Below are 19552 nucleotides of genomic sequence, written 5' to 3' on the forward strand. Positions count from 1 at the left end.
CAGCAATGGGTGATCTTAGTAAATAAGCTGGGTAAATGAGCCAATTAGGCCAAATGAAAACACCTGGCCTAGGCAACAACTGTCTTCCCTATTCCTACCCCTATTTTTTCTATGTCCTTCCTTTTCTGAAGAGTTTAAGAGTTTATCATCCCAAATAATTGACTCATAAATCCATTTTCAAGACATGCAAATATCCATTTCTAGTTATCCTTCTATTTATTTATTCATTTCTTTTGAGACAGGGTCTCACTCTATCGCCCAGACTACAGTGCAGTGGCATAATCATAGCTCACCGCAGGCTCAAACTTCTGGACTCAAGTGATCCTCTCAGCTCAGATCTCCAGTAGCTGGGGCTCTATAGGCATGGGCCATCATGCCTAATTTTTTTTTTTTTTTTTTAGAGACAGGAGTCTCACTACATTCCCCAGGCTGGTCTCAAACTCCTAGCTTCGAGCAATCCTCTTGCCTCGGCCTCCAAAAGCACTGGGGTTACAGGTGTGACCCACCACGCCTGGCCTCTAGTTATCCTTCTTCCCTGACTACCATGCCTCCAAATAAAAAACAGCAGAATAAATCCCAACTGTTCATAACAATGTATTTTGTTAAATGCATTGTAGTCAACAAAAATACAACTACTTACTAAAAACTGCAGCAATAATACTAATAATTGATAAAATATAGTGTATAGTACATGCTAGGCACTGTTTAAAGCACCTCATATCTACAAACTCAGTTACTTCTTACAATAATCCTGGAAGGTAAGTACTATAATTATTTCCATTTTTTAGACAGGAAAACTGAGACACAGAAAGACTATGTAATTTTCCCATCACATAGGTAGTAAGTGGTGGAGCCAGGATTTGACCCCTGGAAGTCTGACTCTAGATTCTGTTCCTGACCATACCTGCCTCTCACTACACAACACAGAACACTGTACAGAATTCACCTTCATGATCAAGGCTAAGTATGTTACAAACTTTGAAGATATGTTTAATATACCTTTAACCATTTGTTCCAGATTTTCCAAATAAAACTTGTATTGGCTAACCAGGCCTTCTTCAAATTCTCTTAACTTCTGGGTTTCTTTTCGGGTCTGAAAAGACCAAAAAGGTCAATCATTTTTTAAAATCAGAACATTAAAAGCCCAAAATTAGTATAAAATATGTGTGTCTAGTATACACCCAGTACTATTTAAAAAAACAAAAAACAAAAAACGCGGCAGTCGTTTAGGCCAGGCGTGGTGGCTCATGCCTGTAATCTCAGCACTTTGTGAGGCAGAGGCGGGTAGATCACCTGAGGTCAGGTGTTTGAGACCAGCCTGGCCAACGTGGGGAAACCCCGTCTCTACTAAAAGCACAAAAATTAGCTGGGCCTGGTGGCGCATGCCTGTGATCCCAGCTACTGAGGGGGCTGAGGCAGGAGAATCACTTGAACCCGGAAGGCAGAGGTTGCAGTGAGCCAAGATCACGCCACTGCACTCTAGTCTGGGCGACAGAGTAAAACTCTGCCTCAAAAAAAAAAAGTCTATCTCTCCAAAATGTTTAGTTATTTTAGATAGTAATTATATCTAGCAATCTAGCATTACCTTAGTAGATTTTTCTGCTTCTGTGAGGGGCCGGATTTTATATGAAGGAGTAATATCTTTAAATAACTCCATCAGAGAAACAATTACCAGCTTTCGAACAGTAACAGCCACATCAGGATCTTGTTCCATCAACATAGAACGTAATTCTTTCAATTTTTTAATCTGTTAAAGAAATAGCTTATAAAGCTGGAGAAATCATGACGAAACAATTATGAACAAAAGACAACAGCCCCACATCCGGCAAAACAAGCGGAATTCACACAATGACTCCAAGTCTAGTCATGCCACACCAAACTCCAGACCCTGCTCACTTTACCAAGAGATAAGTCACTAAAGTCATAAAGTAATTGTATTAGTCCGTTCTTGTATTGCTAGAAAGAAATGCCTGAGGCTGGATAATTTATAAAGAAAAGAGGTTTATTTTGGCTTATAGTTCTGCAGGCTGTAGAGGAAGCTCGGTGCCTGCGTCTACTCCTGGTGAGGCCTCAGGAAACTTACGATCAAGGCAGAAGGCAAAGGGGGAGCCAGGGTGTCACAGGAAAGATAGGGGAGGTTCTAAGCTCTTTTAAACAACCAGCTCTCACATGAACTACCAGAGTGAGAAGTCACTTGTTACCACAAGGATGGCACCAAGCCATTCATGAGGGATCCACCCCTATAATCTAAACACCTCCCACCAGGCCCACTTCCAACATCAGAGGTCACATTTCAACATAAGATTTGGAGGGGACACACCTCCAAACTATATCAGTAATCATATTTTTGTCATATAGTTAGAAACATACAGACCTTAAAAAATTAGTTTACATTTATTATTTAGCTATTTTGGGAAATTCTTTTTTGCTGGATTTTCCTAAAGTACGTGTGTCCTATTCTTCTAAAAACGCTTTTCAAAATATACTAAAATGTTATATACATTAACCAAATATATCAGTCATACACATGAATTAATCAGGAATTACATGTAATATAGCCACATTAACTTGAGCTTCAAAGATAATTTCTATGATGGTTTCGACTGCTTTGATGAACTACTATTGTCTGTGAGCACAGGTTCCTGAGTAGAAGATCTGGGTTCCAATCCAGTGGCTGTTAAAATCTGGAACAAATCACTTGGGTTTTTTAAGGCTCAATTTTCCAGCTGTAAAATTAGATCAATCTCTTATGCCTATGGTTTTGTAATGATTGAGAGAATACACATAAGAAATATTCCAAATCTCTCTTCCCTAATTCTGCTCTAGATCTTCCCCTCACTTCATTAGAAAAGGACAAGTACTACTCCAAAGCATTCCCACATGAAATTTGCTTCTATAAATGTAAATAAGCTATTCTATCATTTCATAAACAAATACTTGTTATAATAGTATGCTGGGGACACCAGCATAACAATAATAATAGTATCATTTTATATGACTTCACGTATATTTCATCATATAATCCTCACCACAAAGTTTTGAAAAAGACACTGTCCTTTTTTAGAGATGAAAGAGTCTTGGATAAATAACTTACCCAAAGTCTCACAGATAGTACTTATCAGGGCCAAGATTAAACCTCAGATTTCTCTAGTTCATGTGTTATAACCATCACTAACTCAACGACTATACACATGGCACAATAACACTTTACTTTAACTTTGGCTCTAGTTCACTTAAAATATTTTCAACTTACAAATATTCCTGAACTAATTCCATACACTTCCCCTGTAGCGCGCTTTTTAAAAACTCCACGGGTATGTCAAGCAAATTTGCAAACAGGTTCCTCCTCCCTAATACAATTTTATAAATTTAAACATTTTTAGAGTTATAAGATGTCCAGTATTTTCATATATGAAGATGAGGAGAATAAGATTCAGAGAGTTTAAGTAACTTTTCTAGGATTACAAAAGAAATTAAGTTCAGACATAGCATTAAGCTAAGATTCTGTCTACTCTCTTACTCTAACCCAGCTACTATGTTTAGTTAATGCTTTTCCTTTTAGTGTATGCTTATAGGTAACAAGGGAATCTTAACAATTAGGCATTTACACCATACCTAATACAAAGAGCCTAAAGAAATTAATACTACCTACATTATTTTCTGGATCTGATAATATGGCAGATGCCAAGGCTGCAATATGCATCTTCTTCTCCTGTAATTTCTTCTTTCTCTCAATCAAATGTTCTTCTATGGTCAGCTCTTGAATAGGATCTTCAATGATCTCTAAAACAGATTAGATGTTCCCTTACATATTCCTCTGCTTACAAGTATCCAAGAATCTTAATAAAATATTTTTACAGTAATAATAATAATGACAACAGCTAAGAATTTTGTATTTACTACTACACATCATCTCCTCAACAATACAGGTACTATCATTGGACCCATTTTATAGATAAGAAAACTGAAGCAAAGGAAGAGAAAATAACTTGGCTAAGCTCATAAACCAAAGGAAAATAGGATTCAAGCTCATAAACCAAAGGAAAATAGGATTCAAACTCAGGCAGTCTGATTCTAGAACTTTTTTTTTTTTTTTTTGAGACAGGGTCTCACTTGGTCACCTAGGCTGGAGTACAGTGGCACTATCACAGCTTACTACAGCCTCCACCTCCCAGGTTCAATTGATCCTCCCACCTCAGCCTCCCCAGTAGCTGAGACCATAGGTGAGCCACAATACCCAGCTAATTTTTGTGTTTTTTGTAGAGACGGGGTTTCACCATGTGGCCCAGACTGGTCTCAAACTCCTGGGCTCAAGTGATCCTCCCACCTCAGCATCCCAAAGTGCTGGGATTACAGGCATGAGCCAGTGCAACCAGCCTAGAGCTCATATTCTTAGCTTCTATGATAATAAGCCCAAAATAATTCATATTAATTAACAAATAGGATAATCCTATTTAGTTTTTTTTTAAGTACAGAATATTCTCCTTTGTTTTTAACACTATATATTACTTTATACAAACTAATACTTCATAGTTTTGGGCTACAGAAAAACATGTCCACCTTAGGAAATTCATAGGGAACTAGATTTAATCAACACTAGCATAATCTGTAATGGTTTTATGATGGGTGACTGAAAACAGTTAAACAGTTGACCTGTAATTCATTTTTGCTATTAATGAGGTCTGCTAAGCGAAAGTAAAATTTAACTAGATTGTTCTGTCACAAATTCCAAACTAATATAATTTCAAACAATAAAATGCATTATTTCAGTTCAACTTTGATTAAATGGTCCTAGGTAATAGAAACTGACATTCAATTATATGAAACATATGCAAGTATAATTGTGCTAGAAACAAACCAAAATGACTTCATACTACAGAATCGCTTTTGTAATTTAAAGCTAAAAAGTTAACAGTTATTTGTAAGTAGTCTTTCTCTTACAATTAAAAGGAATTCAGAACAGTAATAATTAACAAGACACACTTCTTGTATGCCTAGATATTACAAATATGATTGTGTAAATTTTTCCATAATCAAAAAAATAAAGAATCTATTAATAATTCCACAAGATGAAGCTTTCAAATGTGGAAAAATGTTCAAAGTGACCTTGAAATGAGCAGTACTCCAAAATGTACCTTCCAGATTTCATCTAAAATTAACTCACATTTACTATTATGCAAAAAAATTCTCAATTAACAATTTAGTAACTGTAAAGACATATTACCTTCCTCAAGTTCCCTCTCTTCTTCTTGATCCTCTTCATCTTTGTTACTATCAGTAACTATATGGAAAACATATGTATTAAAACTGTGATATATACTTAAGTGGTAAAAACTGTAAAGAAATGCTAGGAGGTGATTACGATAAAACTCAGGATAGCAGTTACTTTTATGGGAAGAGCACAATTAGTGATTGAGGTGAGCACAAGGGAGGATTCTGGAAGCTAGCAGTAGTTTTTTTTCCTTGTCTGAATAGTAGTTTTATAGGTATGCGCTTTGTTATAAACCATGTAACTTCACATCTTTGATATCTGAACTTTTCTGTTTTATTTCACATACAAAAGAAGATACATTAAAAAAGAAAGCTAATCAAGAACAGTTAATATGCTCTAATTTTAGAAACAACAAAATTTAGTGAAAAGAAAATCACCTGAACCTTGTAGCTTCAGTTGTCCTCACAGTACAAATTGGTACCTGAGATAATCTATAATTCTGGCCCAAATCATCAAGCTTGCTATAAGACTAATTGAATATTTTCTAGATATGGGTAAAATCAAAGTAAAATTAAATTTTGAGTGAAAAAAAAACATGATATCAGTAAGGGGGTAAAAGTTCAACTAATATTACCAGTTTATTAGACTCACCTGGCTTCTCCCTAGTCTGTGGGATTATACCACTTTTATCTTTGATAGGAAGTAAATGAATCAGTTCCTTCTCTGGTGCAGTTTGCAGAGTTCTTGGTATTTTTTCATATTTATCTATAATGCGTTCATGCTTCCGTTTCTTCGCATGAACAGGCTCACTGCAGGGGAAAAAAAGATCAATTTTCAGTCTTAATAGATCTAAAAAGTTATCTAGAGACCTATCATTTCAAAAGTACAGAAAAACCACCAGCCAACTTTCAATAGGTATATGGATAGTAGCACTTAGGCTAGTGTCTGGCACATAGCAGGCACTCAAACAGCAAATGAATAAAAGAAATGGGTAAACAACCTACCATACAAACTCAAACTTTGGCTACATCCAGTTTTCCCTCTAGATGCAAAATAAAGGTGAAAGTTACAGCAGATTCTTTATGAAGAACAGTTCATAAAACCAAGTGTGACTCTTACTTTCCCAAAATCTTTAGAGTATAGCATAGACTTTGGAGTTTAAAAGGTCCAACTTTAAATTCCAGATACTTGTGACTGCAGGGAACCATCAGTTTCCTCTCTGGAAATGGGAATAAGACCTACCAGCAGGGTAATGAGGATTAAGTGAAATCATAGCCGTAGGAACTCAGAACTGTTCTGCCACTACCTCAAAGTGAGAACAGCATTCTTCCCCCATTCACTCTACTTGACTATTCAGACTCAAAAGAAAGATGTACATTAAATGAAATCAGCTTATCTTATACATGAACCTCCTTTATTTAGGAAATAAGCTAAATAATACTTTATTCTTTGTAAACATTGTGCTCAAAGGTGAACACCTTGAACCACCTAAGTGAAATTCAGAACCAAGTTTTTAACACTAAATGGATATGAATGATTATAACCCAAATGAAGTATTACCTAGAAGAAAGATCTCTTGTTAGAAAAGATACTCTTTGTCCTAAATCCTTCATTAACTGTAAGTCATCTTCATCCATCATATCTAAAGGAAGGGCTTCTTCTTCTTCCTCTTCTTCCCTCTCAATCCTTTTACCTGTACCACACACACACACACACAAAGAAAAATTAGAAACAAGTATCAGAGATGTAGAACTCTCTGCATTTTGGGTTTAAACAGGAAAAGCTTACGCTTTCTGAAGCAATCCTCCCACTCCAGCCTCCCAAAATGCTGGGATTACAGGGAGTGGGCCATGGCTCACAGCTGAGCCCAGTGCTTCTAAATGGAAGAACTACTGATATGCTAGGCAAACAATTCTTTGTCGTACTGGGATGTTCTGAGTCTGGAAAAATGCTAGCATCTCTGACTCCTGCAATCTAAATGCCAATAGCATTCCCAGGTTATTGTAACAACCAAAAACTAAATGTCTCCACATACTCTGAAATGCCTTTCAGGACGTTTGGAAACCAATGACTTAGCCCCTCAGCTCCTTCTCATCTCCAATTACTTTCACTTCGTATTCCATTTCAGCCAGCCTCTCTAATGGCCACATTCCAAACCCTAGTGCTCACCCCTCTCTCTGACCACAAGCTTTTATCCTTCCAGCTCCCATTCAGTTACTTCCACAGCACTTCTTCCTTAACCAATTATGTAACCTTTCAATCCACTGACCACTCCACTTTCTATCTACCTGTGTGTTCTGTCTTCACTCCCTCACTTAGACTGCAAGATTATCACTTCAACCACACTCTTGCCAATATCCTCAACTATTTTTCTTTCAACACTTCAGGCACTCACATCTAACAAAATCCCAACAACAGATCATTCTAACTTCTCTTTCTGCTCACTGTCTGCGTCTTGCTCTCTTTCTCCATCTCCTCTTTTTATTTAAAAAAAAAAAAAGTCAACTAAGTGCCAGGCACTATTTGAAGTGCTGAGGATTCAACTATGAATAAAACAATCTTAGCATCTTTCCTAGTAGAACTTACAATTCTTCCTGACCCATTAAAACTCGTAAATCTTGGCTGAGCGCGGTGGCTCACACCTGTAATCTTAGCACTTTGGGAGGCCGAGACGGGTGGATTGCTTGAGGCAAGGAGTTCAAAACCAGCCTGGCCAACATGGTGAAACCCCATCTCTACGAAAAATACAAAAAATTAGTGAGGCGTGGTGGCACATGCCTGTAATCCTAGCTACTTGGGAAGCTGAGGCAGGAGAATCACTTGAATCCCGTAGGCAGAGATTGCAATGAGCAGAGCAGAGATTGCAATGAGCAGAGCAGAAATCGCCACTGAACTCCAGCCTGGGCAACAAGTGTGAAACTCCGTCTCAAAAAAAAAAACAAAAAAAGACCCTAGTAAATCTTGCTATATAAATGTACACACTGCACAGAATGGCACTCCTATCTACTTTAAATGAGCCTTCTAAATTTAATAATCCCATTAAAAAATGGGCAAAAGATATGAATAGACATTTCTCAAAAGAAGACATACAAATGGCAAACAGGTATATGAAAAGGTGCTCAACATCATTGATCATCAGGGAAATGTAAATCAAAATTACAATGAGATATCATCTCATCCTAGTTAAAAAGGCTTTTATCCAAAAGACAGGCAGTAACAATGCTGGCAAGGATGTAGAGAAAAGGGAACTCTCATACACTCTTGGTGGGAATGTAAATTAGCACAACCACTATGGAGAAAAGTTTGGAAGTTCCTCAAAAAACTAAAACTAAAAATGGAACTACTATATAATCCATCAATCCCACCCACTGCCAGGCATGAATCCAAAAAAAAGAAATCAGTATACCGAACAGATATCTGCACTCCCATGTTCATTCAGCACTATCCACAAGAGCCAAGATTTGGAAACAACCTAAGTGTTCATAAACAGATGAATGGATAAAGAAAATACGGGGCCAGGCGCGGTGGCTCACGCCTGTAATCCCAGCACTTTGGGAGGCCAAGGCGGGCAGATCACGAGATCAGGAGATCAAGACCATCCCAGCCAACATGGTGAAACCCCGGCTCTACTAAAAACACAAAAATCAGCCAGATGTGGTGGTGTGCGCCTGTAATCCTAGCTACTCGGGAGGCTAAGGCAGGAGAATCACTTGAACTGGGGAGTCGGGGGTTGCAGTGAGCCGGGATCGTGCCACTGCACTCCAGCCTGGCAACAGAGAGAGACTCCATCTCAAAAAAAATAATAATAATAATAATAAAAGAAAATATGGTACATGTACACAATGTAGTATTATTCAGCCACAAAAAAGAATGAGATCCTGTGTGCAACAACATGGATGAAACTAAAGGCCATTATGCTAAGTTAAACAAGCTAGGCACAGAAAGACAAATTTCACATGTTCTCACTTATTTGTGGTAGCTAAAAATTAAAACAACTGAACTCATGAAGAGAGTAGAATGATGGTTACCACTGGCTGGGAAAGGCAGTTGGAGGAGATAGGAGTAGGGATGGTTAATGGGTACAAAAATACACTTAGAAAAAGATCTAGTATTTGATAGATAGGATGACTATAGTCAACAATAATTTATTTTATGTTTTAAAATAACTAAAAAAGTATAACTGGATTGTTCGTAACACAAAGATAAATGCTTGAGGTGATGGATACCACATTTACTCTGATGTGATTATTATGCATTGTATGCCTGTATCAAAGTACCTCATGTATCCCATAAATATATACACCTACTATGTACCCACAAAATTAGAAAAAAAAAAAACTTTAGCTGGGTGCTGTGGCTCACCCTTGCAATTCCAGCACTTTTGGAGGCTGAAGCAGGAGGACTGCCTGAGCCCAGGAGGTCAAGGCTGTAGTGGGCTATTTTTGCACACTGCACTCCAGCCTGGGTGACAGAACAAGACCCTGTCTATTTAAAATAATAATAATAATTTTTAAAAAATGGACCTGAGAAGACTGAATAGTTGTCTAATAATCTGATATAGTCAAATAAGAATACCCTAAAAGTACCAGCAAAGTTGTAGAACTAGCCTGACTCAAAATAGTCATATTCCTTACAAGTTTTGAGTACTTAATAATTTTTAGATAGTTTTACAAAATAACCATGACAATTACAACTCAATTTCACCCCAAGTTTCCACATGAAAAGAAAGTCAGAAGTTTAGAAGTGTACCTTGGCAATACTGTGAAGAATGAACCAGAGACAAGCAATGTTCTTACCTTACCTAACTGCTGGTGAATGGCAAAGTGGCAGCACTGGCACACTGCCCAATATTTATGTAACGGAGTACTTTCAGTTTGTTTTCCCAAGTAGTGCATCTTCAGATCTGCCTTCCAGACAAACTAAAAGCAGAAGCTTGAATGAATACTGTATTGAAATGTTTTCTCATACTGACTGTGATAAAGCATATATGCTTTATAGCAGTCCTATAGGACTACTATCCTTACCCACTCTAGGAAGATCTGAGAACAAGAAAAGCGATTACTAGAAAGCAAAGTTATTTCCATGAAGAACACTTCAGAATAAATCAATGGAAACCAGAGCACATGATGTTTTCACAATTACCTGGTCGCTTTTCCTTTGGGTTCTCCAATGGAATGGGTTTCTTAGACACAGCATCTTTCACAGCTTGCCTTAGTTTCCTCTGTTCTTTTCGGTACTTCTTGAGAGTGCTTTGTTGTTTAAACTGCTTATTTTTTAGCTTGTTTTCAAGTTTGACTTTACTAGTTTTTATTAACTTGCGAAAGCTTGGGATCTGTTTTTTATTTCTTCTCTAGAAAATAACAGAAAGAATACTGCATACCCAGAAACTTATTTTTTAAATCAGGTTAAAGAGAACTGATTACAAATTTCATTAGACCAATTCCACAATTTCAATGTCCCACAGCCACAGACTTGCATATAAAAGCTAAAACCAAACGATGGCTTTAATCCTACAGAAGAGCGCTACAGCATCAGTTATTCAATCCCAATTCACAGCAATTCAAAGGGTTCTACGATCCCCAAACAGGTTAAGAACCACTGATCTAGTAGTGGTAAGTGGCTATTCAAGGCTAGTTTAACACACCTGTAGTTTAACACATTCAAAGCAAAATGCTGGCTGTCTTTAATAAAACTTACATTTATCTACGATTTTATTACTTACAAAGTGCTCCAACAAATCACCTCTAACAGCCTAGTTGAGTACTGACTGCTGTTATCCTCACATTACTGATGAAGCTGCCAAAAGACCCATAAACTAAGGAGGGCAAAACTGAATTCGGATCTTTGGATTCCACTTCTCTTGCTGGTGACTCATTCAGAAATCCCAAAGTTAGTCCTGAACCCCAGGACTACCTCTTATTTTCTGGGAGAACCAGGACAAATCACTTGCTTTTCTATCTCTTTACCCTTCATGGGTACCGTGACTCACATTATAAACTCGCTGAGGGTAGGACCCTGCTTCTCATTTGTGAAAAACGAGTTCGAAAGACGGTCTTGAAAAATTCCTTCAAAGTATGAAATCCCACGCATGCAAAACTCCGTGCCTGTCTCTTCGTGATACTCTGAAGTGGTGCGCGCACACAGTGGGTAACCAAGGATGAGCTCGGTGTAAGGAATGGAAAGCCCCCAGTCTAAACCACCGCCCCCTAGACACGGGTGAAAACCTGCCTAAAAGCTAACTCAGGCAGTGACTCTATCACCCGAAGGGGCCCTAGGCCGCGGCGACCGGGCTTTTGAGGACACTTACCGCCTTCATCCTTAGGCCTTAAATGAATGCCGGCCAGACAAGTTCACCAGAAGCAGGGTTACTACAGAAATCCCGGGGAATGACACACGTGCCGAAGTCCCTACACTACCAGAGCCGGAAACGGCCTTCAGTCCCTCCCAATCCTCCGCCGCCGGAAGTGAGGGCGGGACTTCCGTAGACAGGTTCGGGCTCGCGCCCTCTCGCGGTGACTGTCTCGCGGCCCTGGACCGGTTGCCCCCCGGCGTGCGCGCGCGGACTGGCACGAGGGAAGCCCCGAGGGCGTCGGTGCCAAAGGCGGGAAGCCGGGCGGGAGGGGCGCATTTTGCAAGGTTATCTGAGTATGATTCTTTGACTCTCGCCCTATTTATTTCTTTTAAAACCTTGGGGAAATCGGGCTCCTCCTCTCAGAATGAGAGGACTTGGTTTTTTCGGTCACCTCATTGCATTTTGTGCCTCTCCTCACGTTGCTTATCTCATGCTGTTATAGATACTGATTTTCGTAGTCTTTTTCCTCCATACAGTCCTGAGGGCAGAAAGAAGCTTATTTTTTGTGTGTAATGCCTGCCCCTCGACGGACATTCTGGCCGTGTTTGTAGCATGGCGAATGATTTCTCATCAGCCTTGGTCACTTAAAAGTCTGTGATTCTTAGTGTTTTATTTTGCATTTTTTTTTTGCTTTAATTTTTAACCATTAGCTGATAAAGAACTGTATCCATGGCTGGGTGCGGTGGTTCACGCTTGTAATCCCAGCACTTAGGGAGGCAGAGGCGGGTGGATCACCTGAGTTCCAGGAGTTCGAGACCAGCCTGGCCAACATGGTGAAACCCTGTCTCTACTAAAAATACAAAAATCAGCCAGACATGGTGGCGTGCGCCTGTAATCCTAGCTACTCGGGAGGCTGAGGCAGGAGAATCGCTTGAACCCAGGAGGCAGAGGTTGCAGTGAGTCGAGATCACACCACTGCACTCCAGCCTGGGTGACAGAGCAAGACTGTCTAAAAAATAAAAATAAAAATAAAAAACTGTATCTGCATTTCAGTATCTTACAACTTTGGGTAAATTCTGTCTGCTTAGTAATTTCACCAAAGTCGTTTTTTGTTTTTGTTTTTTGAGACGGAGTCTTGCTCTGGCGCCCAGGCTGGAGTGCAGTGGCGCAATCTGGGCTCATTGCAAGCTCTGCCTTCTGGGTTCACGCCATTCTCCTGCCTCAGCCTCCCGAGTAACTGGAACTACAGGCGCCCGCCACCACGCCCAGCTAATTTTTTTTGTATTTTTAGTAGAGACGGGGTTTCACCGTGTTAGCCAGGATGGTCTCGATCTCCTGACCTCGTGATTCGCCCACCTTGGCCTCCCAAAGTGCTGGGATAACAGGCATGAGCCACCGCGCCCCGCCTAAAGTCGTTCATTTTTACAGGAAGTTTTATGGATTGCAAGAATAAGAGTATCAAAGTGCTTGTCTCTCAAAGACTTTTTTTTCTCAATAAATTTAAGCATTCCACTTCAAGTTTTTTGTGGGTTTTTTTGAGTCTATGATTTTTGAGCATGGCCCTGACACAGAGTCTGGCCTCGCAGTCCTGAGCAGGTGGGAAAACCCAGTAGTGCGGCTCAAAGGGTTCTGAGCCCCTTGAATAGTGTTGCTCTTAGAGAGACTGAGGGAAAAAAGTACCAATTTCCTGATCCCACCACAAAGACCAAGAGGTCCATCTGGCACTCTTCTTTCAACCTCCCTTCCAACTTCTTCCTTGCTCTGTCTCCTTCCACACAGTGTCAGAAACAGCAGAGCCTGTCCCGCTGGAGTATTACTTCATCAAACAAGTGGAAAACATCAGCCTGTGCTCTTCCCAAGTGCCTGAATTCCCTCCCAAGCATATCAACATATCTACAGTCACTCCCATCCTTTTAGCCTTCCTTCCAGTCTCTCCAAGGATGAGGCATCCCCATTCCAGTTCAAAACCAACTCCTCCCAGCTTCATCAGATTCTTGTATCATTAATTATCCCTTCTTTCCTGTGTTCTTTCCCTCTCTAATAGATCCTTCCCCTCAGCTTATAAACATATTCAAATCTCTTCCATTTTTAAGATTTGTTCTAATAAACTTATCTCCCTTTAATTGCTCTTTTATGTGCCTCTTTTCCTACTTGTCCCTACTTCCAGAAAAAAGTATTCTTTTAGCGTCTCCACTTTCTCTTCTCTATTGTCATAGCCCAATCCTGTGCTAGTATTTTCTTTTTTAATATAAAGATTGCCTTTTTTTATTTTTTTTCTCTGTTGCCCAGGCTGGAGTGCAGTGGCAGCTCTCAGCTCACTGCAGCCTCAACCTCCCAGGCTCAAGGGATCCTCCACCTCAGCTTCCTGGGTAGCTGAAACTACAGGCACGCACCACCATGCCCGGCTAATTTATATTATTTGCAGAGATTTGGTCTTGCTATACTGCCTAGGCTGGTCTCAAACTCCTGGGCTCAAGCAGTCCTCCCACCTCAACCTCCCAAAGTGCTGGGATTACAGGCATGAGCCACCATGCCCAGCATGTGCTAGCTTTTTTAAGAACTGTGTCATACTCTTGGCCCATTTTAAGTTTACAATCAACTAAAATCTCTGGATCATTTTAAAGCAATTGTTGCCAAGCTAAATCTCTCCCATCTTGAATTCGAGCAGCCTGTTGTTCGAAAATACTCAAAAATGGAAGTTTATATGATTCCTTTTAATTCCATTTAATCTTGCTGGTTTCTTAATTCTGTGTGTCCACCTTTGTGTCATCTCTTCTTCACTCAATCCACTGCCAAGCCCCATTTGGACTCCAGATCCTCTTAGATCCCTTAGAGCTTTCCTGGACACTTGAGCTGATAAGGGTCACTGGGCTTTCCCAAACTAGTATCACAGGGATTGTACCTGGAGATTCCTGTTAGCACTTTCAGGAAGTCTGTTAAGAACTTACGTGGCTTTGCCCATAACATTCCGCTGAAACTGATCTAATTAAGGTCACCAAGAACCTCCAAAGTGTTGTGAGTTTTTTCTAATTGTGTACGGAATTACATTACTTCTTTCTCATTTAACCTCACTAGATCTCTCTGCTGCCTTTGATGCTACGCGTATCTCCCTTCACACATTAGAATGTTGATTCCCTTGGCTTTCCTAATAGCCTGTTCCCCAGGTTCTCCTCCTACCTCCATTTCTTCCTCCTTAGGCTTCTTCAATGTAGGTGACTCTCAGGGTTCTACTCTTGGCCCACTTGTCTACCACTCTTCTTGCTCTACTTGCTTTTCCAGCGTGATTTCATCCATCTACCTATTACAAAGAGATTTTGTCCAGCCTATACTTCTTCCCCAAGCTTCATTCTTATAGCCATCTGCCTCCTGGACAGCTCTACCTCCTAACCATGGGACTTCACATTACCATGTTCAAAAGAACTATTTTTTTTCACTTGTACCTCTTGTAACATTCCCTATTTCTTTCTTTTACCCACAGCTAGAATCCCAAATACTCCAGAGATCTTTGTCAACAAGCAAGGGCTTTCTTGGCCATTTACCGTATTATAATTAATCCATTTTCTATAAACAAACAGTTTTGAAAACTGTCACTAAGTGGACATGGAATAATAAACAAGGCTTCTTTTTTTCCAGTACCACAAGATAATTTACATAAGTTATAATAAGGGACTATATGAATGTTTGTCACTTTGTAGTAAGTGTTTGGCGATAGAAAAAGCCCACACTTCAGTATCACAAATTAGAAAATAAACATCGTAATTGGATGTTATCACTGTCAATCATCTTAGACATAAAAGAGGCAGGCAGGTTGCCCTACAGCTCACCCAAAGGGGACCTGTGGAAATTAGAAAAAGCTTCCATGTCCTTAAGACACTTCACTGTCATAGATCAAAAAAAAAAAGTTTGCTATCTTTACAAATAAACTGTGAATGACGCCCCTGGAATTGTACAATATACAGTCCTCCCTTATGTCGAAGTGCTTGGCTCTGCCTAGGCCTCTTTCTGTTTCCCTTCCTAAAATTCAGGGGAAACAAAAACAAAACTAAACTAAAGTAAAATAAAATCCAGGGGAGGGAAGGAGTCTAGAATCTCTGTTCAGACCTTTGAGATAGTGCTACAGCCAAGGGGAAAAAAAAACAACTCACTATCAGAGAGCTAAAAAAACATAACTGTAATATTTAAGTAATATTTAGATATTACTGTCCAGGCATTGTGGCTCCTGCCTGTAATCCCAGCACTTTGGGAGGCTGAGGCAGGAGGATTATTTGAGGCCACGTGTTCAAGGCTACAGTGAGCTATGAGGGTGCCACTGCACTCCAGCCTGGGCGACAGAGTGAGGCTATCGCAAAAAAAAAAAAAAAGAAAGGATTTGAAAATACGTATATCATGGTCTCTACCTTTGAAAATGTTAAAATATTGTTGAGAAATTGTGTGTGTGTGTGTGTGTGTGTTTGTGTGTAGTTGAGAATGATAATTATGAATTACCAAATAGAGAATAATAGAAAAGATCACATAGGTGCTAAAAAATAAAGACAAGCTGCTTTAGAGGAAGTCATAGAGCAATGTATACCTAAATGAGAACAGGAGAAAGGACAAAGTTTAAATAGATGGTATAATTTGTTCTAAGCAAGGTCACTCAGGTAGTACAAATAATTTATATTGTGGTGCATCAGAAAATTAGGTTAAGATAGCTAATAATTATAATTAATTATTAAATTAAAAGTATTAACCAAAAACCAAAATAATAGCAAACATTAGAATAATGATGTAGCAGATTTTTTGTCCTGCTGAACCCACAGCTTGAATCACCCCAAAAGCAGTGGTAGGCCAGGAATTAGTGGCTTCAGTGAGTTATGATCTCACCACTGCACTCCAGCCTGGGCAACAGAGCAAGACTCCATCTCAAAAACAAACAAAAGCAGCGACAGGGAAGTTCCCACAACGGTGTGTCCCAAACTGTCTTGAGAAAAGGCCCCCAGTTGGGATGCCATAGAAAGAAGCATTTTTTTTTTTTTTTTTTTTTGAGACAGAGTTCACTCTTGTGGCCCAGGCTGGAGCGCAATGGCACGATCTCAGCTCACCTCAACCTCCGCCTCCCGGGTTCAAGTGCTTCTCCTGCCTCAGCCTCCTGAGTAGCTGGGATTACAGGCATGTGCCAACATGCCCGGCTAATTTTGTATTTTTAGTAGAGACAAGGTTTCTCCATGTTGGTCAGGCTGGTCTCGAACTCCCAACCTCAGGTGATCCGCCCGCCTCGGCCTCCCAAAGTGCTGGGATTACAGGCGTAAGCCACTGTGCCTGGCCGAAAGAAGCATTAAATGCCGGGGTGATCAACCCAAAACAATTGTTAGGAGAACTTACCTACAGAGTGCTGTGGCAATCCTCATGATGGACAGTGAGAGAAAAGGGGTGTGGACCTAGGTATGTCCACAGTGAGGGGGTCAGGGTACGGAGTTTATATGAGGGTTTAAGGTATGTGACTCAGGGCCTGAGCCAGTACTTTCAGTGTTTTGGGCAACAACTTAGATACTTTTACCAGTGCCTGGGACTGTTCAAAGCCCCAGTTTGTGTTGAAGCCTGCTGGGATGAACCTGCAGATGGCTAGGTCACAGAGCAGTCAAGGCACTCTAATTTTTTATTCAGGACACAGAAAGAAAGCCGCAAGGGGCTGTGCGGGAGGTCTCCTGGGGGCCCTACACAAATGTTGTTGGTGTCTCGTCTACATATCCTCAGTACTTCGTGTTCCATACATGCTGAAAAAGTCCTCTGAGCACTTGCAAATTTTCACTTAAGGACTTTTTCTGGACCCCTGTAGGGCAGGTCTGAAGTGCCACAGATTTTTCCACTGGAAGCATCCTCAATCAACAACAAATGGTAATTGAAGGATAACTATAGCAATTGTGGTAGGCTGAAACATGACTTCCAAATATATGAAGGCTAAGTCCCTGGAAACATGAATATTAACTTATACAGGCAAAGTTGTGATTAAGTTAAAGATTTTGAGATGAAATGATTATGCAAGTGGGCAATCACATGAATCCATTTAAGAGACAGGAGATTTCACACAGACAGACAAGAAGGTAATGTGACTACAATAGGCAGAGATTGGAGTGATGTAGACAAGTCAAGGAATTCTAGCAGCCACCAGAAAGGGGAAGAGATAAAGAACAAACTCTCCCCTAGAGCTCAGTCCAGTGATATTAAGTTCAGACTTGCAGCCTCTAGAACTGTGAGAGAATAAATTTCTGTGTTTTAAGCCACCAAATTTGTGATGATTTGTTACAGCAGCCATAGAAAGCTAATATACCAATAAAATATAACAAAAACATACCAATGTCCTTAATCCTCAGAGGTAGAACACCTCTAAGGCAGCGCTCCCCAGCCTTTTTGGCATCAGGGACGGGTTTTGAGGAAGATAATTTTTCCACAGATCAGGGTGGGGGATGGTTTCAGGAAGAAACTGTTCCACTTCAGATCATCAGGCATTAGTTAGATTCTCATAAGGAGCGTCCCACCTAGATCCCTCAAATGTGCAGTTCACAGTTGGGTTCAAGCTCCTATGAGAATCTAATGCCTCCACCGATCTGACAGGAGGCGGAGCTCAGGCAGTAATGTCACTCACCTGCCGCTCACCTCCTGCTGTACAGCCCAGTTCCTAACAGGCCGCGGACTGGTACAGGTCTGTGGTCCCAGGGTTGGGGACCCCTGCTCTAAGACATCTTCCACTTTGTCTCCCAAAGATTGAGTTCCACCTGCAGAGATATCCTACTCATCAGCACACACTATTAGTGTCCTTTGCTTCCCTGCCTCACAACCCCACCCTGCTAGAAATGGTTCCTGGACTCACCTTCAAAATAAACCACTTGCACTCAAGTCCTTATGTATCTGTTTCCTTGGGCTGCCGTAAAAAAGAACCAAAAATTGGGTGGGTTAAAACAACCAAAATGTATTATCTCACAGCTCTGGAGGCAAGGTGTCTAAAATCAAGATGTTGGCATTGTTTGTTTATGTTTAGGGCTCTGAGGAAGAATCTGTTCCATGCCTCTGTCCTGGATTCTGGTGACAGCTGGCAATCCTTGGCAATCTTTGGCTTGTAGATGCATCAATCCAATCTCTGCCCCCATCTTTACATATTATTCTCCATGTGTCCCTCTGTCTTCACATGTCTGTCTTCCCCTCTTATAAGGATACTAGTCATATTGGATTAAGGGCCCACCCTAATGACCTCATGTTAACTTTATTACATCTGCAAAGACCTTTCCAAATAAGATGATGTTCATAGTTACCAAGGATTAGGATTTCAACATATCTTTTTTTTTTTGGAGGGGGGACACGATTCAACTCAAGATCAAATTCAGAGGACCCCAGCGTACCACTTATTTAGGTAATTTTTATGTTTCCCTAGATATGAATTATTTCATTGAATCCTCAATAATCTTATGATATAAATATTAGCTGTGTTTAATTTGTTTTTATTTAATTAATGAATTACAGGATTAGATATTACAGTGTGGCCAAGTTTGTGTTTACACCAGATGGGAAACATAACAAGATGCCAGTCCTGCTAGTGGGAATAGTTTTCCAACAAAAGGGATCAAATGCCTTAAGCTGTTTTCCTAATCTGCAATATTATGGTCAGGGAAAAATTTTAGAGGGATTTTCCTAGGGTTGTGATACATGTTCTTTTTTATTTAAGATGTTTGTTGATAAATTAAGCTAAGAAATGACATTTCCTGTTTCTTTACTTACATTGATTGTTCAAAGCCATTCTTTATTTATTCATTGTCTTTCAAAATCCCTAGGGAAGGAAAAGTGGATGCCATGCACAAAGTCATGCACAGTTTCTGATAGTCCTTTGAGCAGCAATAGTTTTTCACCCTCCACTCTGTACCAGACTCTGCTAGGAGCTCGCTGTGAAAGAACGTTCTGTAAAACAAGGATGTATTGTCTCTAGGTCTCTATTCCAAAGCTGCTGGGAAGTATAGCTGAATGGGAAGGAAACTATCAAATAAACTAACATCTAAGGTATCATGTATATCATCCTCACA

At 40.1% G+C, this 19552-nt stretch overlaps 1 protein-coding gene across 5 annotated transcripts in view, besides 4 other annotated features; it reads right to left on the reverse strand.

Annotated features, from left to right (window-relative positions):
• NOC3L (NOC3 like DNA replication regulator) overlaps window positions 1-11629 on the reverse strand; it is a 48033-nt gene extending 36404 nt beyond the window's left edge. For all 5 annotated transcript variants that reach the window (XR_002957007.2, XR_007061982.1, NM_022451.11 and 2 more), the window contains exons 1-8: window positions 11520-11629; window positions 10355-10562; window positions 6773-6905; window positions 5864-6021; window positions 5225-5281; window positions 3653-3783; window positions 1586-1747; window positions 1000-1093 (exon numbers count right to left, since the gene is read on the reverse strand). Coding sequence is in view for 3 of the 5 variants with exons in the window: in NM_022451.11 (NP_071896.8) it covers window positions 1000-1093; window positions 1586-1747; window positions 3653-3783; window positions 5225-5281; window positions 5864-6021; window positions 6773-6905; window positions 10355-10562; window positions 11520-11528 (952 nt within the window). In the remaining 2 variants the exon portion in view is untranslated. The remainder of the gene's footprint in view (window positions 1-999; window positions 1094-1585; window positions 1748-3652; window positions 3784-5224; window positions 5282-5863; window positions 6022-6772; window positions 6906-10354; window positions 10563-11519) is intronic.
• Window positions 6636-7301: an enhancer, noted in NCBI's record as "H3K27ac hESC enhancer chr10:96117703-96118368 (GRCh37/hg19 assembly coordinates)". NCBI's record gives its function as "activates a minimal SCP1, AML or CMV promoter by ChIP-STARR-seq in primed H9 embryonic stem cells {active_cell/tissue: H9 hESC(primed)}" and the evidence as "EXISTENCE:reporter gene assay evidence [ECO:0000049][PMID:30033119]".
• Window positions 7302-7967: an enhancer, noted in NCBI's record as "H3K27ac hESC enhancer chr10:96118369-96119034 (GRCh37/hg19 assembly coordinates)". NCBI's record gives its function as "activates a minimal SCP1, AML or CMV promoter by ChIP-STARR-seq in primed H9 embryonic stem cells {active_cell/tissue: H9 hESC(primed)}" and the evidence as "EXISTENCE:reporter gene assay evidence [ECO:0000049][PMID:30033119]".
• Window positions 11303-11562: an enhancer, noted in NCBI's record as "active region_3788". NCBI's record gives its function as "activates an Ori minimal core promoter by ATAC-STARR-seq in GM12878 lymphoblastoid cells {active_cell/tissue: GM12878}" and the evidence as "EXISTENCE:reporter gene assay evidence [ECO:0000049][PMID:35858748]".
• Window positions 11703-11832: a silencer, noted in NCBI's record as "silent region_2633". NCBI's record gives its function as "represses an Ori minimal core promoter by ATAC-STARR-seq in GM12878 lymphoblastoid cells {active_cell/tissue: GM12878}" and the evidence as "EXISTENCE:reporter gene assay evidence [ECO:0000049][PMID:35858748]".

Source organism: Homo sapiens, chromosome 10 (assembly GCF_000001405.40).
Source record: "Homo sapiens chromosome 10, GRCh38.p14 Primary Assembly".
Taxonomy (NCBI): Eukaryota; Metazoa; Chordata; class Mammalia; order Primates; family Hominidae; genus Homo; species Homo sapiens.